The 12,836-nt window shown below is 59.0% G+C and overlaps 1 protein-coding gene and 1 long non-coding RNA gene across 10 annotated transcripts in view, besides 8 other annotated features; one reads left to right on the forward strand and one right to left on the reverse strand.

The window, feature by feature from the left end:
- TNS2-AS1 (TNS2 antisense RNA 1) lies at positions 1 to 11,250 on the reverse strand. The gene is made up of 4 exons (NR_033854.1): positions 11,133 to 11,250; positions 10,208 to 10,386; positions 2,773 to 2,873; positions 1 to 2,465 (listed from the first exon to the last, which is right to left on the reverse strand). It is a non-coding gene; the product is annotated as a TNS2 antisense RNA 1 (long non-coding RNA).
- Positions 3,176 to 3,365: an enhancer, noted in NCBI's record as "active region_6400". NCBI's record gives its function as "activates an Ori minimal core promoter by ATAC-STARR-seq in GM12878 lymphoblastoid cells {active_cell/tissue: GM12878}" and the evidence as "EXISTENCE:reporter gene assay evidence [ECO:0000049][PMID:35858748]".
- Positions 3,446 to 3,495: an enhancer, noted in NCBI's record as "active region_6401". NCBI's record gives its function as "activates an Ori minimal core promoter by ATAC-STARR-seq in GM12878 lymphoblastoid cells {active_cell/tissue: GM12878}" and the evidence as "EXISTENCE:reporter gene assay evidence [ECO:0000049][PMID:35858748]".
- The window catches only part of TNS2 (tensin 2), a 17,389-nt gene continuing 8,355 nt past the window's right edge, over positions 3,803 to 12,836 (forward strand). For 2 of the 9 annotated variants that reach the window (XM_017019089.2, NM_198316.2), the window contains exons 1-10: positions 3,803 to 3,875; positions 8,667 to 8,775; positions 9,267 to 9,304; positions 10,223 to 10,261; positions 10,586 to 10,624; positions 10,777 to 10,826; positions 11,082 to 11,253; positions 11,998 to 12,048; positions 12,380 to 12,502; positions 12,593 to 12,657. In XM_017019089.2, the coding sequence (XP_016874578.1) occupies positions 3,819 to 3,875; positions 8,667 to 8,775; positions 9,267 to 9,304; positions 10,223 to 10,261; positions 10,586 to 10,624; positions 10,777 to 10,826; positions 11,082 to 11,253; positions 11,998 to 12,048; positions 12,380 to 12,502; positions 12,593 to 12,657 (743 nt within the window). In that variant the 5' untranslated portion in view covers positions 3,803 to 3,818. Of the gene's footprint in view, positions 3,876 to 4,034; positions 4,186 to 5,760; positions 6,061 to 6,876; positions 7,073 to 8,666; positions 8,776 to 9,266; positions 9,305 to 10,222; positions 10,262 to 10,585; positions 10,625 to 10,776; positions 10,827 to 11,081; positions 11,254 to 11,997; positions 12,049 to 12,379; positions 12,503 to 12,592; positions 12,658 to 12,836 lie in introns of those variants that run through there. The other 7 variants (XM_017019088.2, NM_001416202.1, NM_001416203.1 and 4 more) reach the window with 4 other exon arrangements.
- Positions 4,006 to 4,075: a silencer, noted in NCBI's record as "silent region_4490". NCBI's record gives its function as "represses an Ori minimal core promoter by ATAC-STARR-seq in GM12878 lymphoblastoid cells {active_cell/tissue: GM12878}" and the evidence as "EXISTENCE:reporter gene assay evidence [ECO:0000049][PMID:35858748]".
- Positions 4,146 to 4,735: a silencer, noted in NCBI's record as "silent region_4491". NCBI's record gives its function as "represses an Ori minimal core promoter by ATAC-STARR-seq in GM12878 lymphoblastoid cells {active_cell/tissue: GM12878}" and the evidence as "EXISTENCE:reporter gene assay evidence [ECO:0000049][PMID:35858748]".
- Positions 4,146 to 5,037: a biological region, named in NCBI's record as "H3K27ac-H3K4me1 hESC enhancer GRCh37_chr12:53441165-53442009".
- Positions 4,193 to 5,037: an enhancer, noted in NCBI's record as "H3K27ac-H3K4me1 hESC enhancer chr12:53441165-53442009 (GRCh37/hg19 assembly coordinates)". NCBI's record gives its function as "activates a minimal SCP1, AML or CMV promoter by ChIP-STARR-seq in primed H9 embryonic stem cells {active_cell/tissue: H9 hESC(primed)}" and the evidence as "EXISTENCE:reporter gene assay evidence [ECO:0000049][PMID:30033119]".
- Positions 5,038 to 5,881: an enhancer, noted in NCBI's record as "H3K27ac-H3K4me1 hESC enhancer chr12:53442010-53442853 (GRCh37/hg19 assembly coordinates)". NCBI's record gives its function as "activates a minimal SCP1, AML or CMV promoter by ChIP-STARR-seq in primed H9 embryonic stem cells {active_cell/tissue: H9 hESC(primed)}" and the evidence as "EXISTENCE:reporter gene assay evidence [ECO:0000049][PMID:30033119]".
- Positions 10,293 to 10,532: an enhancer, noted in NCBI's record as "active region_6402". NCBI's record gives its function as "activates an Ori minimal core promoter by ATAC-STARR-seq in GM12878 lymphoblastoid cells {active_cell/tissue: GM12878}" and the evidence as "EXISTENCE:reporter gene assay evidence [ECO:0000049][PMID:35858748]".

Here is a 12,836-nt window from a genome sequence, read left to right on the forward strand (position 1 = left end):
GCTTGTTGAAAGAGGTTTATGATGGCTGTGTACAGAAAGGGTAGAGAGGAAGGCCCTATGTCCCAAAAGGTACTCTAAAGTCAGAGAAAACCTGGGCTGTAATATGGCCACATCCTCATTTAAATTTAAAAAGACGTGTGTGGCCAGGTGCCATGGCTCACAGCTGTAATCCCAGCACTTTGGGAGGCCAAGGCGGGCACATCATGTGGTCAGGAGTTCTAGACCAGCCTGGCTAATAGGGTGAAACCCCGTCTCTACTAAAAATACAAAAATTAGCTAGGCATGGTGGTGTACACCTGTAGTCCCAGCTACTCAGGAGGCTGAGGCAGAAGAATCGCTTGAACCCGGGAAGTGGAGGTTGCAGTGGACCGGGATCGCACCACTGCACTCCGGCCTGGGTGACAGAGCGAGACTCTTGTCTCAATGGTTGCTCACACCTGTAATCCCAGCACTTTGGGAGGATGAGGCAGGAGAATCGCTTGAGCCTAGAAGTTTGAGACTAGTCAGGGCAACATGGCAAGACCCTGTCTCTACAAAAAAATAGAAAAATTATCCAGGTATGGTGGTGTATGCCCATAGTTGCAGCTACTTGGGAGGAAGGATCACTTGAACCCAGGAGGTCAAGGCTGCAGTGAGCTGTGATCACACCACTACACTCCAGCCTGGGCAACAGAGCAAGACCCTGTCTCAAAAAAAAAGTGTGGGTCCACCGAGAAGCCCCCCAGCTGCAGGAGTGGACCCAGGACTGGTCAGCCCTCATTGTCAACGTCTTGTAAATCTTGAACTAGTGGACGAGTAGGGGGAAAGTGCAGGTGCAGCAACCTACTTCAAAAGGGCTAACTTGAGGCTGATTAGGTCCCGTGTGTCTCCCAGTCCACATTAGCCTCGTTTCTTCTCAATAGAATCAAGCACTATACTCCGGATCCCAAGGCACTAGGGTCCCAGTTCGTGCTGAGGGCGTCGCCTCAAGTGCTAAGCGAGCTCACAGCATCTGGTTTCTCAGGAAGTGAGAGAGCTACACATCTGCTCCTGGGAAGCATTATTTGTCAAATAAGCCTTGTTTCTCAGCAACCATTGTAGCCCCCAGGGCCACAAGTAAAGGGGGGCTTGCCTTCCCTTACCCTCCCCCAAAAGAAATTTGGAAGAGACGAGCTGAGCTGCTCCCCGCCCAGCTACAGCAACCTCCAGCTTGGACAATACACCCTCTGTCCTCAGCCAGGAGATCCGCCTCTGGAGTTGGCTCTGCCCCTTCCCCCACTCTTCCTGGTTCCCAGCACCCAAACCCTCTACTGGAGTTCTCCTGACCCAGTGGTCTCCAGCCAGGACAGTCCCACACCTTCAAATCCTCCCCCTACAGTCCCCGCACCCCAAGGATCTGAGCACATTCAGTTACAGGCATGGGGTCACCCCAGACCATGGAAGAGGGGGTTCCATCTTCAGTGCCAAGATGGACCACCCTCTGCATAGTCAAGGTAAGAAAACCTGTGTGGAGGGAGGTCAGAGGTGCTCCTGAAATTGTTTGACCTTTACTAACATCAACCTGGCTTTCTCCTCCTCTCCTTCTTCCTCTCTGAAGCTCCTGCTGCTGTGAGCTGGAAATCAGGATGCCTGGCTGGCCCATGAACCACTCATTTTTGTTTCACTCCCACCAAGCTACCTCCTGTATAACTTCTCATTCTCAGCTTTTCTCAGCCCTTCCTGCAGCCCCCTTCTCCACTATCCCCACATTGAGAGTAGGAATCAAGCCTGAGCTGGGAGTTTGGCCACCCATCTTGTGACCCTTTTCCAATTCCTTGGAACCTCTAAAGTTCTTCCCATGGGCCTGCCAGGCAGCAGCAAAACCAGCATGTGTGAGGTTCTAGCCCTTACCCCTCACCTCTCTGGGGTCCAATCAAGTTCCTCTTTGAGTCCCAGTCTCTCCATTGGTAACTTTAGAGCTTAAGTAAAGGTACTCCCATGGCATCCATCCCAGAGCCCAGCCAAAGACCCTAAGGAATGCTGGGAAGAGCAAGATGTTAAAAGAGCTGGTTGAAGGCTCCAGAGACATGAACACACTTAATTATCTCATGATTCTCGATTACATAATCAAATCTGGCCAAAATACATGGGACAACCTTCAGCCTTGCCCTTTCTCCAGGAGCCTCCAATCCCTGCCACTTTCCTCGGTATTCCCCTAACTCTTGCCTCTCCCCTCCTCCCAGTGCCTCCCTACTCATTCCCGCCTGGCTTCCCCCACCCCCACCTCTCCTGTCCCCAGTCCCCAGTGACTCCCACTGCTCTAACCTCTGAAACTGTCTATTGGACACCAACTCAACCAAGAGCAGTAAGATCAAGGCTCCCCAGTCCCAACCATATCCACCCCTCCCAAATGCCAATTTCTGGGTGGGGGGGGACACACAGTCATCACGCACTTCTTCACAGACTCTTCTTCCCTGTGGCAAGATTGGAATCAGGTGCTCCACCCCCTGGAAATGAGAACCAGACTTCTCAGCCTTTGCCAAAGACAAGGGACCCAGTTGAGATGAGACGGGGAGGGAAAGAAGGCCTTAGAGCCAGTGGTACTGGCTACTTTGGGCAAGCACTGGGCATTGAGCCCTGGGCACTGGGTTCTCAGAATTCCAACCTTCCTTCCCCCCGCCCCTTTTCATCATGGAAAATCCAGCAGGGAGGGTGAAGGAGGGAGAAAGTTTCAGGAAGTGCTCACTGCTAAAGGACGTTGGGGGAATGTAGGAATGGCAACAGGTTCAGAACTTCTAGGAAGATGTCCCCTACCTTATCCCTACCCTCCACCTTCTGCTCCAGGGTGGCACGACTCAAACCTGCCCTACGGCCCATTAGCTCCATTCCATGAAGTTCCTATCCAGTACCAGGCACTGCAAAAGAAGGGAATGAGGTCAGACCATAGAAAGAACTTCCATCTCCATTTGGAAAGGCTGGACTCAAGTTAAATGTAAGGAAGACCTTCTCAGAGGTCTCCTGCGAACTGGGAATGACGGTCCAGCTCTTTAAAATAGGGCAATGGGCCGGGCACGGTGGCTCACGTCTGTAATCCCAGCACTTTGGGAGGCCAAGAAGGGGAAATCGCTTGAGCTCAAGAATTGGAGACCAGCCTGGGCAACATGGCGAAAACCCATCTCTACAAAAAATTAGCTGGGCGTGGCGGCGCCCATCTTGTAGTCCCAGCTACTCGGGAGGCTGAGGTGGGAGGATCGCTTGAGCCTGGGAGGCAGAGGTTGCAGTGAGCCGAGATGGCGCCACTGCACTCCAGCCTGGGCGACAGAGACAGACTCCCGTCTCAATGAATAAAGCAGGGCAGTGGATGGGATGGCTGGAGCTGCTTGCGGGTGGAGATGGGGGCTTGAGCCTGACGGAAAGGTCCCCAGCTGTGAATCCTTTGAGAATACTAGCCCAGGAGAAGTCTCCTGTGGGGCAGAGGACCAGGGAAGGGTGTCCAATGACTTGGGCCAAAAGTAACACCAGGTGTCTTCACCTGATTCAGGCGCCCGCCTGGGTAGGGGACGCTAGCACCACCAGGCTAAGCCACGGGTGGTCCTCTCAGGTCAGGCCCAAGCCCAGGCACACTCCTGTGGGGAGGGTAAGAGGCTGACGCTGCGCGGCAGTTCCCTGTCCCCTTGTTCCTAGTCCCTTCTAGACCTACGCCCACCGTTTCTTCTGCGTCTGTCTGGCTCGCGTGTTTCTTTCTGCCTGTGTCCCGCCGGGTCAGGCTCTCCCCGTCTCTCAGACTTTCCCGTCCCCGTGTCCTCCGCGGCCGTCTCTCTCCAACTCTCTCCCCCTCTCAGCCACTTCCTGTCTCCAGTATGTCCCTGGCGCGGCCCGGCTGGCCGTCTGCGCACCCTCTCTCCCCTCGGCTCTTTGTGAGTGTGGGTTCGCGGGAGAAGGTGGGGAGGAGAGGAGGCCGAGGGGTGGGGAGCTGGCGGAACGTGGGGATTGGAGCCGGGAGGGAGGAGGAGGAGGAGCGGGCTGCCACGGGCGCGGGCGCGGGCGCGGGGCGCGGCGGGGGCGGGAGGGAGCCCAGCCGAGCCCGGCCGCCCGCTCCCGCCACTGCCACCGCCTCCTCCTCCGCGTCCGCTCGGCGCGGGCACGGGCGGGATGGGCTGGCCCGGCGGCTCCCCCTGCTGCTGCCCCGCCCCGCCGCGCCCCCGCCCGGCCGGGCGCCCCCCGCAGGTGAGTGGCCGCGCCGCGCTGGGCGGGCGGCGGTCTCTGCGTCACGGCCGCGCGGGCAGTGCCAGGGGCGGGCGCCAGGGGGCGCGGGGCCGCCGGAGGTCGAGAGGGCGCGGGGCGCGGGGCGCGGCCCAGGGCTGGGGCCGGGGGCTCTGGCTGGCCGCGGAGAGCTGGGAGCAGCGGGAGGCCGGGACAGTGACTAGGGGGCGGGGCGCGGCCGCGGCCCTACTCGATCAGGCCGCCACGCCTTCCAGCACCCGGGGCGCACGGGGCCGCACGCCGTGCCACACACGCAGGCCCGGGACCCGGCAGCAGCTGGCAGCGGCGCTCGGGCCCCGGCCTGGCAGGGTGCGGGCGAACGTTTTCCTTTCCTGCTTCACATGTGGGACAGAGGCCGTAAGCGGGCACAGATGAGGCTGATTCGACTCGCCAGCCCCGCTCTGCGGCCCCCTCCAGTCTGCCCCCATCCTCCAGACCCTTCTGGGAACACCCCCAGAGCCGCCGCCCTCCCTCGCTCCTTCCCTGGGCCTTACCCCTCCTCCGCGGCGGCCGGGCTCCCAGCCTCCCTTCCAACCACAGCTATTTCCAGAAAGGGGGGTGTGGGTGGAGGGGTTTCTCCAAACAAACCCAAGACTTCGGAGAGAGAGGGGGCCCGGCTGGGGGAGAGGTTGACAGGCTCTGGAATGTTACAGGCGGGAGGAGGGTGAGGGTCCAAGAGGGTCTAGTGATGCCTTCCCAGCCCTCCTCAAGTGAGCTACTTTTCCCCTCGGGACTGGCTCATAGGGATCCCATCCCTGCTTCCCTTCCGAGGTGCGAGTGCCACAGGATGGGAGGGACTCACAGCCACAGTGGATCCTGACCACCCCACCCCTCACCGAGCTCACTGCTTGGGCACCTCCTTGCTGGGTCTGGGTGGGGAGTGTGAGACCAGTGAAGGTGAGAGGATGTCTGGGGACCTGTTCCAGGTGAGGGGACTTTCAGCCCCTATGGAGGCAGCAGGAGAGTGAAGCATGTAGAGGAGTCCTGGTCAGGGCCATGTGCCATAGGAGCAGAAGCTGGGACTGGACAGAAAAAAGCCACCCCCACTGCCCACCTTGTCACACTGCCCCATCTCCCCCAAGCAGGGCTGGGGGCTCGACAAGGCCAGGCCCGGTTGCCCACACTGGCCGGGGGCCTGGAATGTGCTGGGACACAGCCAGGCTGGCAGGATGGGGGTGGGTCACAGAGCCCGTGCTCCTCTCCAGTTACAGGCAGGGAGCCCAGGCCTGCCACACAGATGCCACCTTCTGGCCAGGATATCCTGGGGACACATTTCTTGGCCTGGAAAATTGGAGCTTCCAGGGAGAGGTGTCAGGCTAGGCCCAATCCAGTCAGGTCCTCGCAAGGGTCTCAAGTGGGCACCCACAGCAGGCCTCACCCCAGAGAATGCAGGATTCTTCATCCCAGGGAACCCATCCTGGTGGATATGAAGGAGCAGGAAGCAAGTAGAAGGGACTCCGTGGGAGAAGCCAGGGCTGGGGGAGTTGCCTGAGTACTGGGACATTCAATAAATACCATGCAAATGAGAGGGGCACATTTGCACATTCTTTCAAGTGACAGCTATAGCCTGTCCCAGGGGCTGCTGTCCACAGCTTGGGGCTGAAGACTCCCAGGCCATTAACCCCTTAGCTTTTAGGAAGATTACTCCCCCTTTTTCAAGGCCCCATCCACCTCCCTCCCTTGACTCCCAGGACGGGAAGTTGGCCATGTTCCCAGGAGGGAGGCCGGAGGCCCATGGATGGGGGTGGAGTATGTGTTGGGAGGGGGGACCTCCTGTCCAGTCCTCAGGCCCTGGGACAGCTGCTGAGGAAGGAGAGCAGACCCAGGAGAGCCATGAAGGTAGTACTCAGGCTTCGGGGTTGCCGCGGGGGGAGGGTGCAGCCCTTGGGTAGAGAGCCCAAGTTGCAGGGCTGGAAAGAGGGCTAGGGATCTGTGAGATCATGTCTGAAACAAAGCCAGGGAATGGGTGAGTGGGGGGCACTGTGTCAGGAGCAGAAACCTGGGGGCTTTCAGGAGAAGGGCCTCATATGCCTTAGGCTGTGGCAGGAGAATGGATTACTCCCCAAACCTGAGCAAAGCAGTCTTGTGGCTGGAACTTGGCCTTGCAAGGTGTATTGAGGGTAAAGGTGGGCGGTGCATGCTTTCCTTTTCCTACTTCATAACGAGTGAAACTGAGACAGGAAGGGGGCCCCCAGTCCCATTTTTACCTGACTCTCAGGACACACTCGGGATCCTGGGCCTGCCTGCTGGTAGTAGTTCCCAGCTCCACTCCCTCCCCAGCGGAAGTCCCTCGAGAGCTTGAGAGTTCAGGCTGGAGCCTGGCTGGGACACACTGTTCCCCACTTGCCCTTTAGCCCTGCCCCGAGACCAGAATTCTCACCCGGCCCCACCGGGGGTGGGGGCAGAATCTCAAGACCATGGATCCCTGCAGATCCCTGGAGAGTGTGGTGTCCCAGGTGTGGGACAACTCCAGAGTTGGGGGAGTAGGGGGAGCAAAAGATCACAGGCTGACACTCCCAGCAGGGTAGATCCTGGGAATCTGATCTCCTGGCCTCCCCCACATCCTCCCCCCTCCACTTCCTGGAGCAGCGACCTGCCCCCTTCCCGCCTGCACTTCCCTCCACTTCCAGGGCCGGGCTTCTCCTCACACCAGCCAGACAGCCTACCCTCCGCCCAGGGGAAGCGGCTGCCTCCGCCAGGCCGCTTCCAGGAAGCCCCGGGCCAGGCCCCAGCATTGTTCAGGCCCTGGGGCCAGCACCCCAGCCAGCCGAACACCATGAAGTCCAGCGGCCCTGTGGAGAGGCTGCTCAGAGCCCTGGGGAGGAGGGACAGCAGCCGGGCCGCAAGCAGGGTAGGAGTGCCCACCAGCTGGGCAAAAGAGGGGCAGGGGTGGAGGTGCGGGCAGTGGGGGAGGGGACCAGGAATCAGGCCAGGCCTTCTTCCCAATTTCAGCTTCCTCAGCCTTCTTCCCTGGCCCAGCATCCCCTCCGGAGTGGCCAGGGCTGTAGTGTGAGGGGATGTTTGGGTTAGAGTAGGTCCTGCTGTCTGTTTTGGCTCCTCTCACCTTCCCTGCTCTAGCCTGGGCCAACCCCAGGAGGTCCTGGCCCCCCAACATAAGCCCCAGGTGCCTCACTGCAGGACTTTGCCATGCGCTATCCAGGTATCCTCCAGCAGGCTCAGAGATCATCAGGCCCCTTCCCTGGCCCAGGGAAGTTTGAGGGAAATGGGGTGGCAGGGTGGAAAAAGAGAGAGGAGAGGGAGTCAGGAGTGCTTTGGAACTGGAGGTTTGCTTTCCACTGACAACATCCATATCTGCTGCTAATGCCAACATGCTCCCAAGTGTCTTAGTGGGTCCCACAAAGTTGATCCAGCCCAGAAGAGTTGCAGGGACAGTCAAGAAACCAGAGGTGCTGCCCACATCCCCATCACTCCCTTTCCCAACTTCCCAGCCTTGCCCCAAAAGCAGCAGCTCAGGACAACCTGAGATACTACTGTGATGGGTCCCCGGGAGGAGGACAGCAGGAGTCTGAACTCCAGAGGAGGGGGAATATGGGTAAAACAGAGAGATGGCAAGGAGACAAGCTGTCCCCAGACAGAGGATGGGAGGAGAGAACCCACAGTGGGAGGGGAAGGGACTGAGATAGGCCTGGGCCATAAGGGGGCATCCCAGGCTCCTGCCTCACTGCATCTCTGGGTCAGGAGGGGCTGAACAGGGAATCTGGTCCACTCCTTTCTCATTCAATGCGTGAATCCCAAGTGCCAGGGTGCAGGGGGTCGGGGGAGAACTCACAGCATCCAAAGCCAGCTAAACATCTCTCCCCAGTGACAGGCTTCTATCTGTTTCCCTCCAGCATGACCACCCCCATTACACAATTGCTGTCTGCTGCCTCAGTGCACAATGAGTAAACATGTTGTTCTGACCGTGGGGGAGGAGGGCATGTCAGCTGCCTGGAGCGTGGGGACAGCAGGAGCTAAAGGAGCAGGACTGGCTGAGGCCACTCCTGCCGGCTCAGTCTGGTGCTGCAGGACTGACATACAACACATATGTTTGGAACCTCCCTGCTCACTCTGCACACAGGTCTCCATGCGGGGAGGACAAGATGGGAAGAGTCAGGGAGTACCCTTACCACACCAGGGGGAAAGCCTGAGCATGGAGGCTTTTCCACAAGGGCATCACACACCAGGGCCATGTGAGGGGCCCAAGTGATCCCCTGGGGAGGAGCTGACCCAGCAAAGGTGACGCAAGGGGTCAGATTCCATGCACAGTTGAGGACAGGCCCCATGACCGCCCTGAAGCAGCTGTGGCCAAGTGCGTCCTACAAGTTTGAGGGCTTGATCTGGACGGAGAAAACCAGTGCAGTGCTAAGGCAAGGCTCCTGCCCAGTCCCGGAGATGGAGATGGGCCCACTGGGAACTCACACCTCTGTTTGTCCCTCCACCTTCAGCCTAGGAAAGCTGAGCCTCATAGCTTCCGGGAGAAGGTTTTCCGGAAGAAACCTCCAGTCTGTGCAGTATGTAAGGTGACCATCGATGGGACAGGCGTTTCGTGCAGAGGTGAGGCTCTCTGTCCTGTGACTCTGAGACCCTCCACCCAGTACCACTGTGTTGCACAACTCCAGCAGGCCAGCTCACACAATCTCAAATGTAATATGCTGCTCCTGGATTAGGCACAATGGCAGCTAAGAAGCAGCTGCCTCCCCCTTCAGATGGCCCTGGCTCCCCATGACAGACACCTCCCATAACCCAGGAGAGCCAGTACTCTCCATCACCTTCCCATCCTGACTTGTGACGGTAGTCTTCCTTCCCTCTCTTCCTCCTCACCTCCACCCACCCTGGAACGTTACCCCTGGCCTGGGCAGTAGTACCCCACTGCCACACTCTTCCCTCAAAACCTAGCCCTGCTCCTCTGCCCCAGCCAGCCCAGTCCAGGTGGGATCTTGGAAGTCCCAGGGTCTGGTTCCAGGGTCTGGGAGATGAGGGAAGGCCATTCCTTCCACTGTCCCACAGGCCCCTGCTAACCCCTCTCCTCCCCTTACCTTCCCTAGTCTGCAAGGTGGCGACGCACAGAAAATGTGAAGCAAAGGTGGGTATCTGATTCTACCTGATAGGGGGAGAGGGTCTGGAGTCCCTTCCTCCTCCCAAACAGGCTTCTGCAACCACACTGGCATCAACCCTCCACCTCCACCCCTCTCACCACTGGGGAACCCCTCCTGGGTGGGAGGGGTGCTGTACTGGGCCCTTTAAGAACCACCCTACTCCGCCTTCTGGAGGGCTGGCCAGCCCAGGCGGGTGGACAGCAAGACAGCGTTTGTCTTGGTGCTGTGCCCAGACTGCAGCTGGCGAGAGGATGGGGGTGGGGAAGAGGAGGAGAATGAGGAGGAGGAAGGGTGGGGTGGGTGGGGAGTGGGGGAGCAGGATTTCAGAGACTGGGCAGCCGGATGGGCTGTGCCTTCCCTCTGGGGAAGGGTCCTCAAAATGCCTGGGCGGGTCTTGTCCTGGGCCCTGGAAAAACTGGGCCTTTCCAGGTATAAGCTGTGGATAGCACCCACTGTCCACTGGGGACCTGAGACAGCCCTGTCTCTGAAGAGGTCCCCTGGTCCTCTTCCTTCAGGACAGGGGGAGGAGGATCCCAGGGCCCTGGAGCTGGCTTGGGGGAGCTGTGTGCCCAGGGGCGGGGTCTCCCGGTGAAAGAAGCCAGTGTCCATCCCTGGCCATGGCCTGCCTGCTTGGCTCTATATATAACTCCTGCCCTACAGCTGGATGAATGGGGGTCTGTGTGGGCTGGGGGCTGAGCGCCAAGAGCAACAAGTGGGGGGCCTGGGGGGTGGGGGACCAAGAGGCCAGAGGGGAGGTGCCCTTAAATAGCGCAACCTCAGCTGGAGCCTGTGCCCATCCACTGAAGGCCCCTCCACCTTCCTCCTGAAGCTGAGGGGCTGCCCCATCCTCAAGCCCACGAGAGCCCTTCACCAGGAGCTCAGTTCCTTACTCGGTCCCCTTCCAGGTGACTTCAGCCTGTCAGGCCTTGCCTCCCGTGGAGTTGGTGAGTGCGCTCTGGGATGGGGTGGGGAGGGCAAGGAACCTGGCCATGGTGTCCAGAGGTCTGGTGGCTCCAGAGAGGGCCCCCAGGAGATGACCTTGAACGGAGTGCTGTGGGTATTGCTCATCCTATGAGGAAAGAAAAAACTGTCTGAGTCCTCTGCTGATCTTGTGCCCTTGGGCCTGCTGGGGGTAGGACTCCTCTCCCCTTATCCAGTACAGCCTTCAAAAGGACACTGACATTCCCTTCCCCTGTCCCCAAGGCCCACATTGGTCCTTGCCCCTGCTGTAACTAACCACTCCCTTTTCCTCCCCCATCTCCCTCTAGCGGCGAAACACGGCCCCAGTCAGGCGCATAGAGCACCTGGTAAGGTGATGCTGGAGCAGGAGGGGGAAGCAGGTAGCTTTGGGAGTAAGGATCTAGATTTCCTGAAGACAAAAAGGGCATGGCTCTGGAGTGGGCAGTCTAGAGTAGGGGGTACCCAAAGAGATGTCTAGACACTGTCTGTTAACCACCAGGGATCCACCAAATCTCTGAACCACTCAAAGCAGCGCAGCACTCTGCCCAGGTAAGTGAGGGTGCTGGGGTGGTCCCACGTGACCCCCTTTCCGCCGGCCCCACACCTCAGCCCAGGGCACTGCCCCGCAACAGAGCTCCCCGGGACAGCCCCCCACCCCCAAAGCGGTATTCTCCCTCCAGACCGATCCACCCACCCTCAGGACCCAGCAGGCTTCACCTGCTGCCCAACAGACAGCCTTCCCGTCACACTAGCCACCTCCGGGTGCCCCGCCCCTGCGTTCATGCGTAGGCTCCTCCTCCCCAGGAGCTTCAGCCTGGACCCGCTCATGGAGCGGCGCTGGGACTTAGACCTCACCTACGTGACGGAGCGCATCTTGGCCGCCGCCTTCCCCGCGCGGCCCGATGAACAGCGGCACCGGGGCCACCTGCGCGAGCTGGCCCATGTGCTGCAATCCAAGCACCGGGACAAGTACCTGGTGAGGGGCGGGGCCATCAGGAGTCCGCCAATGAGAGGGATGTAGGGTCCAGATGGGCGAGGCTAATCACTGACGTCACCAGCGGAGGCGAGGCCGCCAGGGGGCGGGACCAGAGTGGTGGGGTGGGGGCGGGGCCCGGAGCGCGGCCTGGAGCGGAGCGGAGAATCCTGGAACGCTGGCGACTTGGCTGTGACTGGCTAGGCCGGGCCTTAGCTACCTTTTTATTTTCTTTATTTATTTACCTTTTTTTTGAGACGGGGTCTCACTTTGTTGCCCAGGCTGGAGTGCAGTGGCACGATCTCACCTCACTGCAACCTCCTCCACCCGGGCTCAAGCGATTCTCCCACCTCAGCCTCAGTAGCTAGGATTACAGGCGTGCGTCACTCACGCCCAGCCAATTTTTTTTTTTTTTTTTTTTTTTTTTTGTATTTTTTGTAGAGACGGGGTTTCGCCATGTTGGCCAGGCTGGTCTCAAGACTCCAGGGCTCAAGCGATCCACACCCGGCAAATTGTTGTAATTTTAGTAGAGATGAGGTTTCACCATGTTGGCCAGGCTGGTCTCGAACTCCTGACCTCAGGTGACCCGCCCGCCTTGGTCTCCCAAAGTGCTGGGGTTATAGGCGTGAGTTACTGCGACCGGCCTGCACCTTATTTTAGAGGAAGATTCTTACTTAGGATCCACCTCCACCTCGTGCCTCATTGCCGGAGATCATTTCTGTCTAAAGCCCTCCCCCTTTATTTCAGCTCTTCAACCTTTCAGAGAAAAGGCATGACCTGACCCGCTTAAACCCCAAGGTATGAAGGAAATGGCCTGCCCAACCATTAAACCAAGCCACCCCAACCCCAGAAGCCCCCAGCTTCCTCGTTATTAATAGTAGCAATTGGCATCTACTTCACTCTTAAGCACTTTCCCACTCTCCCATGATATATTACTGGAGACACCCCAAAACGTGATGCAGCAGGTATCAGCCCATTGTATGGATAAGGAAAGTGCCGAGGCTATCATGGACAACCAGCAGACCCCCAGCCTTGCCCCCGGACCCCTATGCCCTGTCCCCTTTCCACCCTGCCCATCTCTCTCTGTTGGTGGCCCCCGGCCCCAGTTGCACCCCTGCATTCTCCCCAGGTTCAAGACTTCGGCTGGCCTGAGCTGCATGCTCCACCCCTGGACAAGCTGTGCTCCATCTGCAAAGCCATGGAGACATGGCTCAGTGCTGACCCACAGCACGTGGTCGTACTATACTGCAAGGTGGGCCAGGACCTCGGGTTCCCTGGTGCCTGGAGGTTCCAGGTCAGCCTGGAGCTCCCAGACCCTCATCCCTGTCTCTCTGTCTGTCAGGGAAACAAGGGCAAGCTTGGGGTCATCGTTTCTGCCTACATGCACTACAGCAAGATCTCTGCAGGGTGAGGCTCCCAGCGCCTGAGTAGCTGCTTCCCCAGTGGCCCTTTCTCCAGCTGGCCCCTTAGGAACCCATCTCCCCTGGAGCCCACCTCTTCGTTGAGAGTCCTTTGCTGTCAGCTTAGCACTTCCACCTCCCTTTTATCACTAGTACTGCAACATAGTCTGCAGCAGATGGTCTGTA

Source organism: Homo sapiens, chromosome 12, assembly GCF_000001405.40.
Source record: "Homo sapiens chromosome 12, GRCh38.p14 Primary Assembly".
Taxonomy (NCBI): Eukaryota; Metazoa; Chordata; class Mammalia; order Primates; family Hominidae; genus Homo; species Homo sapiens.